This window comes from Homo sapiens, chromosome 21 (genome assembly GCF_000001405.40).
Source record: "Homo sapiens chromosome 21, GRCh38.p14 Primary Assembly".
Classification (NCBI taxonomy): Eukaryota; Metazoa; Chordata; class Mammalia; order Primates; family Hominidae; genus Homo; species Homo sapiens.
In genome coordinates, this window is record NC_000021.9 from 15,990,569 (window position 1) to 16,013,947 (window position 23,379).

Sequence of the window (23,379 nt, forward strand, 5' to 3'; positions counted from 1 at the left end):
GCTTTCTTAGAAATTAGAATGTTTTTGAAATGATTTGTTTTTTTTCATCTAGCTTTACAAGCTATCCAGGAAAACTGAGTCAATGTCTTATTTTTTCTTTCTACATATTTTTCTGAAGCAAGCAGATATGTTTTGCAAAAATAATTTACAGGTTGTATTTTATTTTATTATTTTTATTTTTGCCAAGCCTGTGTATCATTATGTATTGAGTGAGACTTCCAAGAGTGTCAAAATTGAATAGTTAGTGGTGAAATTTACCAAACGCAGTTAGCTGATGGACCCTGAGGGCCTCAAATAAAAATATCCAAGGAAAACCTCTTGAAGCGAACTTTTGTGTTTCTTCATGATGGATGTGTTCTTTGAGTATGGCATGTTCAGGTTTCCAGAGCCCTGTCTGAAGATGAGGAGACTTAAAGAGGCTACCAGGTTAATCCCTCCCTGTAGGCCTTGGCATTTCTTTCTCAGACCTCCTCGCAGTTGAGCATGTTGGCACCATCTCAATGCCTACTTCCTTCCCACCTCAGGCTGGATTAGAGAGGATTCTCTGTGATAGACACTCATGAGCCACAGACATTCTTCTCTTCTGGTCCTTCACTGCCATACCTCTTTCTAACGCAGAAACATGTGTTCCTTGTCTAGGCCAAGAATCTGGCTTATTCAGTCAAATGTATGCATTCTAAAGAAAGAATTGGTACACAGTAAATGAAGTGGGAAGTGTGAGTTAGCTTCAGAGATCATTTTACATGTTAAGCACTGAAGCATGGAAAGAATGAATGTGAACTTAGAAGCCTGCGTGAAGGATAGGACACTAGCCTAGAACTCAGGAAAGGTGTGCTACGGATGGTTCTGCCACTTATTTGCTGTGTATATTTGAGAAAGTGTTTAAGCTCACTGCATTGCAGTTTCTTAGCTGTAAAGAGAACCAACTTTAACATTCCCGATTGTATGTTTATAAATGAGGTTTGCCTTTATTCCTTTCTGCTATATCGGAACTAGCAAATACCAAACATACAGACCAAATAAATACATAGGAATATTCAATTAACATGCTCATCTTAACTAACTTATAAAATTCTATCTTGTTTATATCTAGTTGTATTAATCAGGGTTCTCCAGAGAAACAGAGCTAAAAAAGTTCAGAGAAACAGACCCAATAAATCATACATAATGTGATTAATATTAATATATAAAAAATCATATAACATATCATGATATATATTAATATATTTTATTATATATTTATATATCATTATATATTACTATATAATAAATCATAGTATATGTAATAAAAAATTATATATTATGTATTATATAATATAGTATATATTATAAATCATATAATATATGTAATTATACATATAGAGTATAGATGTTAATATATGATATATATACTGTATATAATTATATACATACTATGTACATACTCTATATTATAATTATATATAGTATATATGTTTATATATGATATTATATCATAATATATACCAAATATGATACTACATAAATACTATACATTATTGTAGTATAGAGTATATATAATATATATATCATAATATATACTATATGATTTATTATAAGGAATTGGCTTAGATTGTGGAGGCTGAGAAGTCCCAAGGTATGCAATCATCAAGCTGGAGACCCAGGAATAAAGATGGTATAGTTCTCATCCAAAGGCCAACAAGCTCAACACTCAAGAAGAGCCCATGTTTCAGGTTGAGTCTGAAGGCAGGAAATGACCAATGTTTCAGCTCAAGCAGTCAGGCAGGAGCAATTCCCTCTTACTCACAGAAAGGTCAGCCTTTTTGTTTATTCAGGCCCTCAATGGGTCAGATGAGGGTCACCCATACTGGGGAGGGTGACCTGCTCTCCTTAGTCTACTGATTCAAATGTGAATCTTGTTTAAGAACGCCTTCAGAGACACACCCAGAATAATGTGCCACCAAATGTTTGTGTACCCTGTGGCTCAGCCAAGTTGATGCATAAAATTAACAACTCACTACTCAGAAACGGAGATATGTAGGAGGTATGTATTTGTCTCTAAGCTTTGGGGTTAGCTACTGCTGTTTATTTTCCAAGGGGCTTTAAAGATGTTTGAGAAACTAAGAACACTAGAATCATATGGCTCATCCCAAAAGCTCATCCAACTCAGGAGCCTCCAACTTTCATAGGACCATTCATGTGGGGGGGGTGGCAGCATTTTTCTTTGATGTGTGTCACAAAGAGTAGAGATTGAAATTCAAAGGTACGACTTCCTTTTGATAAGGCTCTCTCATCTATGAAGTCATCTACAGTTTTCTTGAAACTCTTTACTTTCATCTCTATTACCTTTCAGGGGTTTCAAGCTGATGAAGTCCATTGAGTAGAAGTATGCATTCATTTTCCAAAAAATGTTTTCTTCAAGTTTCAAGGACATGCTTCCTTTTTGGCTCATCCTAGATTTGAAAATGAATATGTCCTTCATGTTTATGTATTCTTCTCATGATCTGTACTTTTACAAATGAAAAATCTTAAATTGCCTTTATTCTATTTTCATCTAGAACTTTGTCTTCATATGGATTACTTCAATTGCCCTTGTGTTATAATAACTACAATTGCTACTGGATATGAATAGGTGAAAATAGGAAAATGGGGATACTGGATAACTAATGGGAAGAGAAAGATGGTGATGTCTTTTTGTCTTTTTTTTTTTTTTTTGAGACAGAGTTTCACTCTTGTTGCCCAGGCTGGGGTGCAATGGCGTGATCTCCGCTCACTGCAACCTCCAACTCCCAGGTTCAAGCGATTCTCCTACCTCTCAGCCTCCCGAGTAGCTGGGATTACAGGCATGCGCCACCACACCCAGCTAATTTTTTGTATTTTTAGTAGAGACGGGGTTTCTCCATGTTGGTCAGGTTGGTGTTGAACTCCTGACCTCAGGTGATCTGCCTGCCTCAGCCTCCCAAAGTGCTTGGATTACAGGTGTGAGCCACCGTGTTTGGCCGGGTTTGAACTTTTGCACAAGTTCTTGCCCACAATCTTCCTTACCTTGTAAATACTGAGTTACTTTCTCAAAAGTCAGCTCCAATATTCACCTGTCTTATGAAGCCTTCCTTCATCTTCCACAGGCACAGATTTCCTTTTCACTTTTCTATAGAATAAATGCATATTTATTATGATGCAAAAGATAGTTCAATTGCAATTCGTTATGATTTGAGTCTCATTCTACCCATTGTAATTACTATAGTGTTTTTGAGATAAGACTAAGGGGAAATTATTACAGCTGCAATTTGAAAATACTTTTTGGAATGTTTTGATACAACACATAAGAAATTATAGATTCTTGATTGAAACGTATATTTTAAAAAGTGAAACAAATTTACAGAAAAATTAATTGAGCATGAAACAAAAGCAAAAAAGGTCAGGAATAAATTTAATTAGTTTTTTTAATAATGAGAAGCAAATTGCATCAAAACATGTTTAAGTCATAACTAAACTAATAAGTCATGAAGAGAGAGATTTATTTTTTCAGGGTAATAGAACTTGAATGCTAGAGTATTATTAGATAATCAAATTAGCAGAAAGGAATGAGTCATCTGAACCCATGGAAAAAGACTTAAATTTATTGCTGATTAAATGTGATTATTGACTTTAATGAGGATAACATGAAACTCCTAATGACATCAAAGCAATGAAGAGATCTATGACAAACAGGCTAATAAGTGTTGTCAACTCAGCATGTTAACTAAGTCAACTTAGTTTCATACTCATATACTGTGACATTTGGCAACTCAGTCGACGTGCAGGAGGAACATTTGCAATACCTGAAATCTTATTTATATGAAAGAAACTCGATAACTTTGCCAAATTGGAGAACAATCACAAAAATTTTCATAACTACCAATAAGTTGTGAAGATGAAAGTTTCCTAAACTATCAATAATTTTTAAGTTTCAAATATTATGCTAAAGAAAAGACGGAGTTTGTTGATATTGTGATATTTTCAGCTTTTTAAATTTCAAAATTTTTATGATTTTTTATTCTAAATATTCATATACATGAGTAACTTTATATTTAGTACGTTTATATTCTCTTTCTTTCTTTCTTTCTTTTTTTTTTGAGACGGAGTCTTGCTCTGTCGACCAGGCTAGAGTGCAGTGGCGCGATCTCGGCTCACTGCAAGCTCCGCCTCCCGGGTTCATGCCATTCTCCTGCCTCAGCCTCCCGAGTAGCTGGGACTACAGGAGCCCGCCACCACGCCCACGTAATTTTTTTGTATTTTTAATAGAGACGGGGTTTCACCGTGTTAGCCAGGATGGTCTCGATCTCCTGACCTCGTGATCCACCCACCTCGGCCTCCCAAAGTGCTGAGATTACAGGCATGAGCCACCGCGCCCGGCCATATTCTCTTTCTCAAAGAAGGTCTTTTAAACTGAGTAAGTTTCAGGCCCAACAAAACTTGGACCAAACTGCAGAACACACTTTGCAGATATTAGTAAGCATTTATTTTATTTATTTTGTAGTCTGTTAATTCCTTATAGAAGGAAACCAGGATGTTTATCTTTAAAACCTTTGGGCATAGCACAGTGCGTGATATGCTATAGTGGAAATTGCTTAGTAAATGATTATAGGATGCATAAGTATCTAACAGACCATGAGATATAAGAAACCCTCTCAGGGAGGTTCTGAGTCCCCTCTTTTACTAGCAAAATGCTTGAACTATTCAGATGAAAACTATTATATGATAGCAATTTATCATTTCAGAAAATTTGGAAAGTACTACTTTGAGTAGTCCAACTATCCAGTGAAAGCATAGCATCATTTGGCTTAGAAAAAATGTTTTCAAAGGTGTCTGATTCCATCTTTCCCTAATTGTGATTTAAAACACAAAATTTATCCCAAAAGTAATGATGACCATTTTGAATGTCAAAAGAAATTTCTATCAGAAAAAGCCTTACACTTTAACTTTCTTTCAACTTTGAGTGCAAATTATAAGTAAAATGAACTCCAGTCAGATCTTCATTTAACTTAAGAGTATGTTTAGAGGTAGCTATTATTAGTGCTATAATTGATTTTTCTCCCTTTTGAATATATCTGGAGCATATAATTGGATGGATCAATACTTTTAGTTATGGAAAGTTAAGGAACAAAACATGAACTAAAGACTCTGACTCTTGTTTCAATAAAGATGTGATACTTTCATTTTCAAAGAGAAGAACAGTCATACTGTGAATAAATTTAGTTTATTCTGTTGCAAGTAAGTTTTAGGAAAGGAATGATGATAAACTCAAATATGTTTGAGCTTCGTTATTTTAACAGAATGATCATATTTTATACTGCAATGAGTAATAAAATATGAATTTTTGTTGTAGATGTATAAATAAACTAAATGTGTGACTTTTCTTGTCATTTTCTTAAGATTAGACATATAAATAAAATGAAGATTCTTTGAAATTTGTCATGTACAAAGTTATGTCTTTTTATTTTCTTTAAATACTGTGATTTAGAGTATGCAGTAAAATGATGTTTCATAATAGGTATTTTGTAGTTTGTTTCTCATTTTAAAAAATATGAAAATAAAATCCTAAAATGAGAAATTCAGGTGAAGGCTTTAGGGTAGGTTCTCATTTACTTGTGCAGACTTTAATATGCTTCTGCCCTTAAGTGAGACTGCTAATTTCCTAATGGTCCTATAGAGGATATGATGCCTTTTGCAGTTCCCCAAGGAACATCAGAGAGAAGAAGAAAAAAATACTGCTTGGGTTTCAAGATTGAAGAGTGAAAAATCTAAAAAAGCTCTCAATAGCCTACTGTAGAAATAATCCCCAGTGGTTCAAACTGCTTAGCTAGATGTAAAAAAATAAACATTCTCTTTCCCAGCATGCCTGCCACCCTGCAAATTATTTTATACAAGTCTCACTCATTTGGTCGGTAAATATTTATTGAATAACTAACTCTGTGAGTGCCAGGCATCATGGCATATTATCATGAGGATATGAAGAAACAGATTAAAAACTTAACTTGCTCTTGATAAACCCTTGGTCTAATTTGAGAAAATAGATTATGAAAAATGGTCATGTTTTCAGCAAGTATAGAGTGCTGTGGGAGCAAGGTGGGGCAAGGGACTATTAGAATCATAGAATTCTAGAACTGGAAGGGGGTTTAGAGATTATTAACCCACATTTGGACACACATTTTTTAAAAAAGATTAAAGAATCAGTGCAGTCAAAGGTGAAACTTTTCATTGATTTAGTCAACGAACAATTTCTGAGTAATATGTGCCCAGCATTGTTCTAGATGCTGGGGTTAAGACGGTTAAAAACAACAGCAAAGGCTGGGCGTGGTGGCTCACGGCTGTAATCCCAGCACTTTGGGAGGCTCAGGGAGGCGGATCATGAGGTCAGGAGATAGAGACCATCCTGGCTAACACGGTGAAACCCCGTCTCTACTAAGAATACAAAAAATTAGCCGGGCGTGGTGGTGGGCGCCTGTAGTCCCAGCTACTCAGGAGGCTGTGGAAGGAGAATGGCGTGAACCCGGGAGGCGGAGCTTGCAGTGAACCCAGATCGCGCCACTGCACTCCAGCCTGGGCGACAGAGCGAGACTCCGTCTCAAAAAAAAAAAAAAAAAAAAAAACAACAACAGCAAAAATTCTTGCTCTCATGGAAGTTACATTTTAGTGGCAGTGAAAGTCGCACAACTAAAATTGATCTAAGACTAGCATTGAGAACTACGTAGGTAGAGTAACTAGAAAATAATTAAAAATGAAGATCATGAAATGCACCAGGTTGTAGATGTTTTTACATCTGTGTCTCCGCACAACAGAAGAAAAAGCATGACCACTGATTCACTGAAATATCTGCAAAGTAGCAAGTGCGGCTCATTTAATTTCAAAAGATAACCAAATAAATAACATTTATTTTCATTATAGTAGATTTCAAGATATTTGCTGAATCCTTGCAGATCAGAGAAGAGTATTTCTAAAGAAGTAATAGGCAAGTAAAAAGTCAAATCTTCTGGAAAACTATTTTACAGTAGGGAAATTAAATGGAAAGCTCTTTATTTGGAAGACTAATTAGAATAAAGGAGCACTATACCTGTGTTATAAATGGACTCTCTTATGGAAAAGTTTTTGTAATTCTATATAATACTATAATTGTATGGAGTATATGAGGTATATTTGTATAGAGTATACATTTGTATACAATAAATTTGTATAGAGTATACAATGTGTAAAATGCATAGTGGTACTATAATTGGTTAAGGATTAGCTACACTTCGGAGGAGATCTAGTTTACAAAATGACCAGATTTTGTCATTAATCCTTTTTATAGAAGTGCTAAAACCTGGGCTCAAACACAAAACTTGACCTCCAACTCTGAAACCTTTGCTCTGCAGAATTGTTGGCTCATCTCAGTAAGTGGTAGTTGAGTACACAGGAACTTACAAATAATTATGAAAACCCTTAACTTCTCAGAGTTGCTGAACAAAATGGGATTCTTAACTCCTCTACATTTGTGAATAAAAAAATTCTTCATATTATGCAAAAATTAATATGCCATAATTTTAAAAATCATAAGGGTACGTTGGCTTTCATCAGCCTGTAGCTTGCACATAGTTTATGAATCTAGCAAAGGTCATGTTTAATCTGTGGAGTTGCTAGTTTTCATACATGTGGGAGGGAAATATTCAAAGGTGTTTGAATCATTCAAACTCTAGAGATCAATTCTGACTATTTTCTGGAATGTTTTTTCTTCTTCTAGTTGAGTTTTTCTTCTCCTTGGAAATATCCATTTCACAAGGGCATTTTTTTTTCTCTATAATGTTCAACTATTCCTTTCTTTTTCCGTTCTCTTCTCCATTTCCTTTTTATTCTCTATTTCTCCGTTTTTGTGGGGAGAATATTTTATCCCTGCTGTTTTCTGTTATGCATTGAGGTTCACACTGTAATAGTATGTGGCAAAATCAATTAACTGGTACTAAAACAGCTTTTTAAAAATGAAATAGAAGGGAAATAGGAGGATAATACCAGATTATCTACTGTATGTAATAAGAACAGACATTTTTTAAATGAAACATTATGAATCTGTTGTGTGTGTGTTTATATATATGATACTAAATGAATTTTTTACTGGGAGTCATAGTAAAAAGTTAAAAAACCACTGGATTAATGAGTGTTAAGGACTTGATAAAATTGTACAGAATTATTTCAAGTAACATATTTTAAAAACTGAACAGAGCATAAGCCATAAGCCAGGGCTTATGACTGTTTTCCCTATGGTGATTATTTGTTTTAAAATTTTTGTGGTAGCAGAATTTGGCCCTGTTAACATTTACTATAATGTTCATTCATATTAAATATATTCAGGTTGGAATGGATTTACTTCACAGAACAATCTGGCCCTCAGGAAAAAGGTGAAATGAGGGGAATTTTTTTTTTTTTTAAATATTCATACCCAGGATCCCAGACAGCTTTCTCTTTTGGGATTTGCCTTACGCCTTCCTATCCAGTATACTCTTCCACATAAGATTTATCTTAAAAGTCATTTTCCTCAAGAAACATTTTCTTACCAATAATTCATGTACCAACTTACTAATAACACACTTAACATAAAAAGGACAGATGTGGTCTTCTATTAATAAAATGAGAGACTTGCCTGCTCTTGTTTTGGGATTAAATGTTTTATTATTTCTTTTTTTTCAATCATTCTTTTACAGTAATTGTGTGGGAACAAAAGTGATAATGATTTGTAAAATTCTTATTTATATTTAAGAAATCCATTTCAGAGTTCTGTCTGAAGTAAAAAGAGTAAAAGCTCCACATGCCAAATAATTACTTGGTTATTTTTAAGCTAGTATAGAGATTAATCAAGAAGTTACTGGGAACTTACTGTTTGAAATTTATAGATGTGTATTCCCCATTTGCCCTGGTCGACCATTCCCATTCGCTACCAACCTTATAAATCCTTTGAATATGTACTCGCAATGAATAAACATAATGAATTATTACTCTGGGGGTACTCAAAAAATTTTGTTGGGAAAATGGACTTCTTGTGCCAAGACTCAATCAGTGTTAGCAGAAACCACAGAGAGACACAGAATATTTGAGTTTAAATGGCCTCAGAGATCTTAACTTAGGGATTTGGACTTTGTGACCAACAGCTCACAGGTTCAGGGCCTATCCACGGCCATGGACTCAGAGGAAGAGTGGTCCTCAAACCCAGGACTTCTGAGTTCAGTTAAGGACTAGTTCTAATAACAGTTGTTTCAGATCTCCCGAAATACTCTCAAACAGGCTGTGATAATGTACCCCCAAGATAAGAGCACAGCCAGGTGTGGCTAGCCACAAACACAACTATGTAGACAAATATTCTACCACGAAAGTTTATACAAATGTGCACATACTTAATGGTGTTTCTAGATACTTTCAATTACATAAGATTAGCTAAATCTTAGATGCCAGGAAAGTGGATTGTAATTTTTTTCTGACTTAGTGAACCCCCAGACACATGACTGCGTAACTCTGTGAGTGTGTATACGCAGCACCCATTGGTAACTTAACCTCCTGGTGTTGAGAAAGAACAGGCAGAAAATGGGTCATCTCCCTTTATTGCAAGATGATACTTATTAGGTATAGTACTTAAAATGGAACATCCATTTTAATGAGTGTCTAATCCTGATAATCTTGTAATATGTGATGCTCTTAAACTTGTGCTGGATCATGTTACACCAAATTAAATTTTTAACTGGTTCAGTATACTTTTAAAAGTATATTTAATTCATACTTTACCTTCTACCTATTTTTCAGTTGCTATATTCTCACTCTCTCTTGATTTCGGGGAACCAAAACATATTTGTATGATTTTCTGAATCTCTAATAAACTCTACTTTGGGCGAACACATCTATCAAAAGAGATGCCCTTTCAAGATTGTATTGACTTGCAACTATCTGTAGCAAGCTTTGTTTGTAAATCATCACTAACCTTTTTCATGTTTTAATTTTTTATGAACTGTTTTTAGTGTCCCTCTAGGATTTCAAATATTGCAGGAGAACAAATGAGTTATGATGTGATTCTCCGGGCTAAGAAACAAAACATACTTTTCAAGGTTCTGTCTAAAGTGTACTCTTAAGCCAAATCGTAAGAACCTGAGTCTTTTAAAAATGTTTCCAAAACTAAGTACTCACAAAATGTGCTGTACTTGTCCTATCTTAGCACTTGTCACACTTTATTGTACAGGTTTCATAATAGTGAGTGTCTTGTAAGAAACTTTACAACCTATGACCTTACCAGGAGCATGTTTTTCCACTCTACCATTTGCACCTAATATAATACCAAGCACATTACAGGTATAAGACAAATGTTTTTAGGTTAATGAGAAGTGGTTTGACTGTTGATAAGATTTTACTTAATATTGTGTGTATTGTTTGTGACATAACCATTATTTGAGAAGCAGCATATTTAGTAATTAAAGACAATAACAATATACGTGCATTTTTTTAGATTTCTTATTGCATTACTTAAAAAGCTCTGAAAATATATGGTGTCCAAAGCACATAGCTAGCTCTACTATCAGGTGGATCACTGCTCAACAAATACCCTGAATAGGTAAGATCTTCTAGGACCCTTACTGATACCAGTGGGACATGCACTTAAGAATACATACAACATTGATTTCATATATGGTATTCAAATTTACATCTCTAAAAATGAAAATATATTTTCTTACTACTTAATGTTAAAATTTATGGTAGATAAAAAGGAACGAGATCATGTGCTTTGCAGGGATATGGATGAAGCTGGAAGGCATCATCCCCAGCCAACTAACACAGGAAGAGAAAACCAAACACCGCATGTTCTCACTTATAAGTGGGAGCTGAACAATGAGAACACATGGACACAGGGAGGGGAGCAACACACACTGGGGCCTGTCAGAGGGAAGTAGGAGAGGGAGAGCATCAGGATAAATATCTAATGCATGTGAGGCTTAATACCTTGATGTTGGGTTGACAGGTGCAGCAAACCACCATGATACACGTTCACCTATGTAACAAACCTGCGTGTGCAGAAGTACGTGTGTCCCAGAACTTAAAATTAAAAAATAAAAAAAAATTTATGGTAGAACATGTGTGTAATTTTCAAATGAGCATAATATATTGGGGAAATGATTTTTTTTGACAAATATGTGATTTAAAAAAATTGAATATTACTGTTTACAAGACCATCATTAATATATATCCAGAATACTATGACGATGCAAAATATTGAATGATGGTTCAGGAACATGTTTACTCTTCATTGACATAAGTGCAGATGATGTAAACAATGCACTGTAAATATGCACATATTTTAAACTACCATTTGAGATCACATTATAGGAAAATTCTGGAAGTTACAAGCAAATGACAGATAAATAGAAACCAAATAGAATTGAGGAACTTGAAACACAGGTGAAGTAGAAAGCCAATGAAAAAGTGAAATTGCCTAGCAAAACTGCAAAAAAACTACTCAGACTGGCATTAACAAGAGCTTGGCTAGAGTAGTCTATGAGGTTGTTGGCAGGATAGTTTATCGCTAAGCTGCAAAGCTGGGCCAGTCAGAATGGCCAGTTGGGATGTGATGGTGAGCAGTATCATCAACAATGGAAGCTAGAAATAGGAGAATATTATCTTCAAGTAGTGAAGGGAAATAATTGTTCATCTAGAACTTTCTGTCTCCAAGCCTTTAAAAAAGAAGGACAAACTCAAGATTTTTGCAGAAAAATAAATATAGTGGGCATTTCTCATCAGCAAACCCACATAAAAAATGAAATGACTTCAAAGGAAGTCTGAGATGCAAGAAGATATGGTGAGCAAATAAAATAGACACATGTTTGTAACCGTAAGGAAACATTTACCAGGTAAAAGAATTACAACATTTTAAAACTAATGGGATAAAAATCAAGAAAAATAAATGTGAAAGAAGAGAATATAAATTGAGAAATGACTGATGAGATGAAAGCTTTCTGAGTTCCTTTCATTATTCAGGAGTAGTGTAAAGAGATTGATTAGGCTGGGCGCGGTGGCTCACGCCTAAAATCCTAGCACTTTTGGAGGCTGAGGTGGGTGGATCACCTGAGGTCAGGAGTTCAAGACCAGCCTGGCCAGCATGGTGAAACCCCGTCTCTACTAAAAATACAAAAATTATCCAAGCATGGTGGCGGGCGCCTGTAATCTCAGCTACTCGGAGGCTGAGGAAGGGAGAATTGCTGGAACCCAGTAGGCAGAGGTTGCAGTGAGCCCAGATCCTGCCATTACATTCCAGCCTGGGCGACAACAGTGAGACTCCATCTAAAAAAAAAGAGAGAGATTAACTTTAATATGTAAGTGAAACATCATGTTAAATTTTATAAGAAAACAGCTAATAGAACAGAAACAATGTTTATATACCAAAGCATAAAGAGAAAAAAAAAAACCTTGGATTTTCAATGAAGTGATTTAATAACTATTTAGTTAAAGATGCAAAATTAAAGTACTGACAGTAGAGGGCAGGGTATCCCTGATGCTGTGCTGATAATTTCTTGAAATTGCAGAGTATCTCATGTTATCCCTAAAGTCATATATTTCATGTATTGAGCCAGATATTAAAGATTTTATGTTTAAAAAATACTGATAACACAATTTACTTTTTATTAAAAACAGAGATCTTGATATGATCTGTGTAATATGAAGACCTAGCTTCTAGACAGGAAATGGTATATTTATTTTCATTCTCTGGATTTAGAAAATTTATTGAGTTTTGCTGATACATTTTGAGAGTCATTTTTTTTTTGCATTGAAAACAATTTTGAAGTCTCTTGGTTAAAAAAGAAAAAAGAAAAAAAGTAACTATACAACAGGATAGTGACCATCCCAATATCCAATCTCTAAATAATGGCCAATATTATTTCTGGATGTGATTCTTTAGCTATATGCTTTCCGATCCTATAAATAACTTTTAAAATCCTTCTTTGATTCTGAATCCCTTACAACATCTTTGTGGTTTAGTGCAGACAAAACTGGATCTTATATCCTGTTTTAAGCAACTGTGTTAACATATACGAAACACTCAAATGCTTGTTTCTTTGTGAATAAATAAGATGTTTTATGTTGCCGCCCTCTTTATGTTAATTATTCTAATTAAATTGTCAAAGTACAGAGTGTAACTGGACTTTAACATTTTATTAATTAGTCACTTAGGAGAGCCTAGGTTATTCTGCTATTAGTCACTGATATTTAAGTCACTTGTTATTACTGGATAACACTGATATCATTGATACTTAAGTGACTTAAAATACCAGTGACTTACAGCAACAATATTTTATTTCTCATTCTGCTACACGGTCCTCTGGGTTGATCCTAGTGTGATTCCACGTTGTCTTCACTCTGGACTCCAGCTCATGGAGCAGTGTTTCTCTGCAATATTCTAATCTCATAGAACAGGAGTAAAAAGAAAGTGCCAGACTACATAGTGGCTCTTAAAATTTCTGTTTGCTGGTGACATGTGTCACTTCTGCCCACTTTTCACAAGTCATACGACCAAGGCTGATATTAGTCAGTGAGGGAGTATAATCCTTCCTGAAAGCTGGGCTGTAAACACTTGCCAAAAGTAACGCCATCTACTACAGTATCTTTATGATATTTCTGAGAAATCGAGCCAAAATTTTAGTCAACCGGTTGGTGTAAACTACTTATACAGATGTTCTGTACATATTATTATTGTTTAGTCTTCAGTCCCTGAGGATTCTGACGAAAGTGCTCTAGGAATCTAGTACATTAAGTCCTGACTTAATACTGTTAATAGGCTCTTGGAAACTGACTGAGTGAAAAGATGAATGAATGGGGAAACCAATCTTCCCACAGGCTACTTGGTATAAACAAGAGTTAAGTTCCTACAGCATATTTTGATCACAAAAACATCAGCAAACTTCTAACTAAAGACTAAAACACTTCTAATTTTAAATATTATAATAAATGTGAGCAATGTATACATTTAAGAAAGAGTGATAAAAACAAGTAAGACAATTATTTACCCATTTATTTCAGTTCAGGGTTGTGGGTGTCCAAAACCTATGCAGACAGCTTAGAGCACAAGACAGGAACCAACCCTAGACGGGATGCCATCCCATCAAAGGGCACACTGACATAAACACACACACACACACACACGCAGACTGGGACCATGTAGGCATCCCAATTCACCCAACATGCACAGCGTTGAGGCGTGGGAGAACACTGGAGAACGGGGAGAAAACTCATGCAGACATGAGGAGAACGTGCGAACTCCATTCAGACAGTGGCCCCAGCTGGGAATCAGTTTTCTTCTCATCAACATTATAACAACATGATTTTATTTGAGGACCTGCTGTGGACTGTATATTTTATTTAGGAATGACTATATCTTATGTTGGTGATTTTTTTTTTTTTTTTTTTTTGAGACGGAGTCTCTGTCTCTCGCCCAGGCTGGAGTGAAGTGGCGCGATCTCGGCTCACTGCAAGCTCCACCTCCCGGGTTCACGCCATTCTCCTGCCTCAGCCTCCCGAGTAGCTGGGACTACAGGCAACCGCCACCACGCCCGGCTAATTTTTTGTATTTTTAGTAGAGACGGGGTTTCACAGTGTTAGCCAGGATGGTCTCTATCTCCTGACCTCGTGATCCACCTGCCTCGGCCTCCCAAAGTGCTGGGATTACAGGCGTGAGCCACTGTGCCCGGCCTATGTTGGTGATTATTAATGGTAAGGAAAAATTTTAGAAGGTCCTGAAAAATGAAATAATGCTATGATAATGAGTTTACTTTGCTTTTTCACAAGGATGGGATGGCAAAGAGAGCTCCTGGTCTCTCCTTCATTCTGTTTCTGGTGGAAGGGATTATAGATCTATGAAGGAGAGAGGGAACAAAGAAAACAAAGATTTTTTTTCCTTGTTAGAATCAACTGTAGGTCTTAGAAGACTACTTTCGTGAATATAGTGTTTTAAATTTACAAAATAATTTATGATTTTTTTTCATAAAACTTTTAGACTAAGGCTGGTAAGCTAACAGGTGATATGATTGCCATTTTCCTGTGGAGGATTCAGATTTAGAAATAATTAGCTCAGGTAATGAATATTGTAAAGACTGAGAATTTAAATTTTGTGACTTTTTTTTTCTTTTACCCATAGATTATGTAGCTTTTCAATTATTGTAGAAGTCTTAACGTTATCTTTAGTCATGCTGTGTTCCTAGATGTGACTCTCAAATAAATTCTGGTGAAAACTATTATTTAAAAAATGAAATGACTGACCTAACATATTGATTATTTTTCAACTCTGCTTTATAACTGTAAGAAAAACTAGATATGACTAAAATATCTTTCCCTAATATTTGAATTTTAAACAACTTAAAGCATGTATAGCTATCTTGTCCATTATTATTATACTTGTGAGACAAATTTGCAAAGTAACAATATTTTTGAAATTAAGAAAAAATATAGATCATAGGACTTGTTAAACTAGATATTTCTGTATTAAAAAGAGCTCAAAGTCAGCTCCTTTTTTCCCCTTTCATTTTAGAAGGCTGAATACTGATCAAATTTCAGGTCTACAGATATACTCTGAAATAAGGTTATTAAATTCACATCCTGCTAGGGGAGCTACCTACCTTGTTTATGCCCCCTGGGCATCCAGATTTTTTTGTTCACTAAATCATGACAAGTAACAATTCACATTACCTAATCAGTTTCTTTAGAATAGGACCATATAGACAGCCAAAATAATATTTGAGAATTAGTGAGCCTGCCCACACTGTAGAAAGAGAACCGTATTTATTTTATTTTCTCTTATTGTATGGCAGTTTAATTATTAAAGGCATGGTATTGAGTTTGAATCTTGGTTTATTGCCTTTTAGATCAGGGGTTGGCAGACCATAGTCTGCCAACCAATTATTGGTTGGTCAGTCATTTCATTTTTTAAATAATAGTTTTCATTTTAAATAATGAAAACTATTATTTAAAAAATGAAATGACTGACCTAACATATTGGCCCCACCAATGATTTTCGCAACACAGCTGTGTTTTTTGTGTAAGTATTGTCTATAGATGCATTTTCTCTATGCAGCAACAGAGTTGAGCAGTTGTGATGGAGACCTTAAGGCTGGCAAGGCCAAAATATTCACTCTCTGGCCTTTCAAGAAAAAATTTACTGATCCCTATTCTAGGCGGATGACTTTGCCCAAGTTATTTAAGTTTCTTTGCCTCATCTTCTAATTATAAAATGCTAATGATAGTCTCTACTAAGTTGGGTTTGTGTGAAGATTAAATGATTTACTTTATACAAAAAATTAGCATAGTGATAGATTGGAAATAAGTGCATCATAAAGACTAGTTATTGATGAAACTATCATCTTATCAAGAAATATAGACTGGCATGTATTTCCTTGTCACTGGAGGAAATATAAGGAACTGGTAAAAGCTCTTATAAGAGAATGAATCTTTGGTGATATTTCATCAAGAATCTGGATTCTTTTGTGCTGAATCTCTTTTCTGGGTTCCACGGAATTCTAGCCTCTTGCAAGCCTGCTCTGGAGTGCCCCTTCTTGTAGCAGGCCCTTTCTTGTTATCTGTGGGGCTATCTCCATGTCTACATCTGGAATTGCTCAAAGGTCACTGAAGTATTGAAACTTTATTAATGGATTTGTTCCCCTCCAAATTGCTTTCCACAATGCCTGCAGCCAGGAGCTTATAGCTGGGGCATGGCTTTTCTGTCTGATTTTGGAGACCTCACTGCTTTGCCCTTTATTTACCTTCTCAGTGAGGAACAAAAAGGTTTCATTCTGTTTGCTATTAGACATGAAGAGTTTTCATGAGTTAACAAGTTCTTTATTGGGCAAATGTATTTCAGTCCAGCATGTTTAAACATTACAGATGGGAGCAAATTTTAGGGCTTTCTGATTTACAATACTATGTTCAATATCAGGTAAATTGCAAAATATGTGAAGACTTATTTCTTTAGCTTTGTGATTGCCAATATTCTTAAGATTGTTTTTCAGATTACAAGTAAAATATGTAAATTTTAGAAATTTTAACAAATATAGAGAAAGAAAAGTCTGCTTTAAGCCTTTTCCTCAATTGTGGCACTTTCTGTCTTGTGTTCTCTTCACACACACACACAGACACACACACACACAATTGTACTTTATATAGTAATATATCATATCATTGATATGCTTTATTGTGTCTTGTATCATGTTTAACTTGATACAGTCCCAGGCATAGTTTCCTATATGATTAATTTTTGCAACATAGGATTTCAGTCTGTAGAAGTACCACAATTTATTTAAACAGTTCATATTCCAAACTTAGGAAGAGAGTAAATTGTTACAACTTTTCTAAAGGTTAATCTGTTAATATAATGTGAAATTTTTAATTTAGAGTCTCTTAGACATAGAAAATTGCATTTCTAGGAATTTATCCTAGGGAAACTAATAGGAAAACCTCACCTAAATACAGGTATTGAAATGCTCACATTAGAGTGTATAAGAGTGAAAATAGTTTTGTGGGCTCAATGTCCACGAGTAGAAGATTGTGTAACTACTTTATGGTGCACGCTTCCAATGGAATGCAGTCTGGTTAAAAGTGAAGGAGTTCATTTTTCTTTATGTACATTAAAATGCTTTATGCTGTTTTAAGTGAAATAGAGCAAATGAAATGAAAAGAATAGTTTAACAGATCTTAGTTTGGCAAACACACACACACACACACACACACACACATAAATCTGGATGAATACTTGTCATGATACCTACTGTAATTAACTCTAAGTACTAGCATCATGTAGTATTGTTTCTTTTTAATTTTTTCTTTGTAACATTTGTCAGTGATCCATGTATTGCTTTTGTGATCTGGGAAGAAAAAAGATAACTTCAAAAAGAGAAAAAGGATTTATTAGGTATGAGACACTTCATAAACCTGTGCTTCCATTTATTTACAATAGTTGAGAAGATATTGGGAACAATTCTTACTTTTTAGTGGAATCTTCATTTTTCAAGTACTCACAAAACTTGGGAATGACTCTGCTTACAGTTTAAAGGTGCTATGGAAATATTTTTATCCAAAGATTGTCAGACTCATGGACAAATGGGGACATTAGGATTTCTCATGCAAGGTGGACAGTCCTGTGGGTAAAAGTACATGCTTCTAGCTTTTGCTTAATATGATTTCTTCAGACAGCTGCTCAATCCATAGGAAGAAGGAAGGTGATAACAATGGAACTGAATAGGGGACCTCATGCTGCTAACACTGAGAAATCTTATAATCAGTAGAGAGGTTGTAGGACTTTTTGCGCTTGTTACCATTTTGTTCTGCCAGTAAATAATGGGGCTATAAAAGTGCGCAGTTTTTATTAAATAAACTACTATTATGGCAACCTAGAATTATTATCTTGCTCCTAATTCATCTATAAATAGCATTTGACTAATTAGAATTTAAAAATTCAAACCAAACACATGTCCTTAGTAAGAATTCCTAATTCTAATTAAGTCTCTCTCTCTTTGTATATACATACATATATATAGAAATACATATATGAATTTATATATTTCTTATATATATAAGAAAATATGTATATATACACACACAATTATATATTATATGTATACATATTATATATTAATATATGTATTATATGTATACATATTATATATTAATATATGTATTATATGTATACATATTATATATTAATATATGTATTATATGTATACATATTATATATTAATATATGTATAATATGTATGAATTTGGCCTTCAGATAGTTTGTGAAATTTATGTTAATATCCTCTCCTTCTCTCTAGTCATGTATTATGGTATTTAATTCATAATGTTGTAGGTAAAAATAAGAACGTTATTGTTTTCCTTTGCTTTTTTTACTACTAGTGTGGTTGAACATTGTTTTCTTATTCTATTTATTGAGTAGTTTATTCTTGTTAGAAATCCTCTTACAGTTCTTTGCCCTTGTTTTCATTAGAGCAAGGGGTTGTAAACTCTGAGCTGCAGACCAAATTCAACCTGCTACCTATTCTTGTAAATAAAGTTTCATTGAGAAATAACCCTGCCCATTTATTTACATATTTTATTGTTTATGTTTTTGTGGTTGTTGTTATAACAGAAGGATCAGATAGTTGTGGCAGAGATTCTATGGCCTGGAAAGCCTAAAGTATTTACTCTCAGATTCTTTATAGATAGAGTTTATGGGATCCTATCTCTGTATTAGAGAGCTGGTTTATAAAAAATATTTTTATCAATTTGAATGAGCTATTTATGAAGTAAAAATTTTAACCTTTGTTTCAAATACTTTTGCAAATATTTTAAGTATTTTGCTTGTCTCATTAGGTCCTGATGGTTTTTCATCTCTATGAGATTCCTATTTCCCCCTCTTTTGATTTCTCAGAATGCTGGGTGCTGGAGTGATGGATGTAGTATCCAATAACTTAGCACGGCTGCCACTATCCTTTTTACCACGATTCCTTTTCTCCTTTGACTTATCTCTCTTTCTCCATTTTCCTGCCCCACTTCTTACTGTTTCCTGACTTTGCTGTTGTTCGATCGTCTGTTTTCAAAGTGGGATCATTAGTTATGAAGGAAGATTTTTCATGAAGAGCCAATTAGATTGTTATATAGCTTTCTTGTATACATTATTAGTCACTAGGTGTTTTTATAATTAAAAAGAAATGGATGAAACTCTTTCTTCCCATTCATAGTCATAATCCAATATTTTGAAAAATGTTTCTCAACAATGGTGGTGATCAAATGATGTTGCTATGGCTTATTCCCATGTATCTAAATATTATAAATACAGGGAGATGGAAATCACTAGCCCCCATGATAATCATTATTTCTCTCCTTCCTAGGCCCATGTAAAGACTTCCCAACCTCCCTTGCCATTAGGGCAGGGGCATGCATCTAATTGTAGACTAAGGTTTTGAGAGGAAGTGCCATGTGTCACTTTAAAAGTATGATTGTAAATTCCTATTGATTTGGCCACCTCAGGATCCAAAAGTTGAGACAGCGACTAAAAGACAGTGATACAACCAGTATCTTGGTTCCCTGAATGACTATATGGAGCAGAGTTCCCACATAAACTGAACATTTCATGTGAACAAGAAATTAACCCATGCCTCCATAAGCCACTGAGATTGTGTGATTAATTTGTTACCACAGTATAACCCAATTTATTCTCACTAATCCAGAAATGGATTTTAGAAATTGAGTTTTGCTATCACAAAATCCTTTATATGTACTCAGCAGGCAGTAGACAAGTGTTGAGAATGTTGACCCTGAAGCGGGCAAAGAAGAAAATTAATGTTACATGGTAGTAAAACATTTGGTGAAACTGTGATAAGTCAGGACTTGGAAGGCAGACCATAGGCCTAGGTACCTTTTAGCTCCTGGATGAAAGGGGGAAACTAGAACCAAAATAGTAGATGTTAACTGCTATTGGCTATGTTTGGCAAGGTACCGTTAAAACAAAAATGAATTCAGGAAAGAATCAGCTGGCTCACAAGCAGAAATGAGAAGAAATAAAGAGGATCTAGAAATGAGGATTCCTACAGTATGGGAAAAAACAACTGCCTCTTGACCCAAAGCAGTAAGCAAAGGGATTTTACAGAGCATTCAAGAAAACTGTTTGGTTGATTAAAGACCTTAAGTTGACTAAAGTCCTTAATAGTGAGGCCTTCCCATAGGTTATTGCAGATATGTTGAAGGTCGCCCCATCCAATTGAGAGAAAGTGACATGGGGTTGAGAAAACAAAGAGCTCTCTAGGAGATCCAAGAACCAGGTATTTGAAAGTGTGAGTGTAGTTACTGGCACAGGGCAGGGACTGGAAACGGGTGGAGAAGAAGCCTCTTAAGTATTTGAGGGTAATGTGCTGCCGAAACGACCACAAGCCAGGACTGAAGAAGCCTTTGACGGTATGAGGCTGAAAATGACCTTTGTGCACTGAAGCTTATGTGAGCAAAAGGGGGCTGGCAAAGCTGTGGAGTCTTATTTTCAGATACAGTCACAGAAGGGAATGGAAAAAAAAAAGAAACTGTCATAGGGTAGAGACAGAAGCCACATACCGGTGGGGAGCCTTTGCTGCTTGTGCTCCGCAGGACTTCAGGATTTAAATGGGCTGAGACGTATGTCCTGTTCCTCTCCTTTCTAAAAGTGAGTATTATTGTAATTATTCTGGCTCTGCCACCCCTTCATTTAGAGTGTGTGTGTGTGTGTGTGTGTGTGTGTGTGTAGGACAGGCAATTTGGCTTTTAAATTTAGAGGTCTCCAGACCAACAGAAACAAGCTCTGGACTTGGGAGGGATTATTGCATTCACGTAGACGCTCTGGACTTTGAGATTAAGGGACTGACTGGATGGGCTTCAGGCTGTTTCCCATGTGGTAGTGCCGAGTATGCGTTATGTGTCAGAAGAATAGCAAACTGAAAACTTAATGAGTAAGAGGTGGTAGATAATAGTCTTCACCATAATTGATTTTTCTCCTTTTGCCTGAAAATTTCCTAACACTCCTTAAAGTACTCAGGGACAAAATTTGCCAATGAGCTGTGAACAGAAATAAAGTGCTTCTCATAAGAGTGGCTGTGAGTTCTCTAAGCTCTTCCTTTGCTATAGCAAGCGTTAAAGCCATGTGTGTTTGTGTGTTCCAGCATCACAAGATAGAGAAGTCTCCCTCAGCCCAGGTTCCAAAAACACCATGAAGAAGAGAAACCTTTGTTAACCCAAGCCAGACACATGTGCAAGAAGAGATCTTTTGTTGTACAAGCCATTGAGATATGAAGTTAACATTTTAAAAAAATCAATGTTACAACAAGTTCTCTATTTGAAAAGCTTACCTGGGATTAGTCCCAGGTTAATAATGGTGTAGAACACTTAAATAAGAAAGCAAAGGCTGCTCAGAATAAAGACTACTTAATATACATTCAAGTTAAAAGAAAGCTGAAAGATCCTATTTGGCAAATTCTGATCCCCTAAAAACTGTATTTCATGCCCTTAACAATTGTTCATAAATTGTAAGACATAAATTATTTGATTCTAAACATATTCCTTTTTTTTTTTTTTTTTTGAGATGGAGTTTCATTCTTGTTGCTCAGGCTGGAGTGCAATGGTATGATCTCGGCTCACTGCAACCTCCGCCTCCCAGGTTCAAGTGATTCTCCCATCTCAGCCTCCCAAGTAGCTGGGATTACAGGTGCACACTGTCACTCCTGGCTAATTTTTGTATTTTTAGTAGAGATGGGGTTTTTCCATGCTGACCAGGCTGGTCTCCAGCTCCTGACCTCAGGTGATCCGCCCACCTTGGCCTCCCAAAGTGCTGGGATTACAGTTCTGAGCCACCGCACCAGGCCAAAATATCCCATTTTTAATGTGAACTACCCCAAAAGACCAATGAATGCTGTACATATTTTCTTTTTAGTACAAGCTATTATTTTCACCTATAATCATGGACTGGTAGAATGCTACATAGTACCCGATTTAATTATGCTTTTCTCATTTTCTAAGTTAATTTAGTTTTATCTAAGGACATCAGAGTAACTTCTTTAATATTTTATAAGATTCTCAACAAACAACAGTGCTTACATTAGGGAAATAAAGCATTCACTAATTAAAAAGTTCTGAGGATATAGATCTACAGTTAATATAAATTATGTACTGGTTTAATGTGTGGTGATAAGTCAAGAAACTTTATTTAAAATATGACTATATCAAATTATTTACTTTCCTGCTTAATTGTTGGTACAAACTTTAATGAAGATTGGAGTTTCCTAGGAAAGGTAAATGAGAGTTCTAAAATTGAATAGCGTTCACTGCAGGAGAACTTGGGAAACTGAAACTTAGTTTTATAGAGACAAAGAAAATAAAACTAAGTAGATAAAACTGACCTGTAATGTATTTCTTAGGAAATACGTGCATGCATATCTTTTTTGTTTCTATAAACAATCATTTCTACATATTCTTTTTATAATAATGTGGGGATTGTCAAATTTTCATGTTTGCAAATTAAAATCTATACATGAAATTGCCTGAATTGTGAAAAACTATAGCTATTCCTGAAGCTTTTCAGTTAATTTTACAAACATTGAGTCTTATTTTCTTGTTTAAACTTTGCTCTTTTCTTTAGAGTACAGTCTTTTTATGTCTCTCAAGCAGCCTCTGATCTTGCACTCGACCTGCCCATAAATATGAGACAGATGGAAATAAATAATCCACTCGAAAATCCACTTGACACAAGTACTACATTTTATGTCTTACAGGACTGGAAATGGCTCTGAATTTAAAGTCATTTCAGGACTCTATGACACTTAGAGAAGATGTCTTTTGATTTTTCCCATCTAACTAGAAATTTCTGGCCTTCTTCAACCT

At 35.1% G+C, this 23,379-nt stretch overlaps 1 annotated feature.

The window, feature by feature from the left end:
- Positions 1,695 to 2,894: an enhancer, noted in NCBI's record as "CDK7 strongly-dependent group 2 enhancer chr21:17364583-17365782 (GRCh37/hg19 assembly coordinates)". NCBI's record gives its function as "activates an origin of replication core promoter dependent on BRD2, BRD4, P300/CBP, MED14 and CDK7 cofactors, with strong dependence on CDK7, by STARR-seq in HCT116 cells {active_cell/tissue: HCT116}" and the evidence as "EXISTENCE:reporter gene assay evidence [ECO:0000049][PMID:35650434]".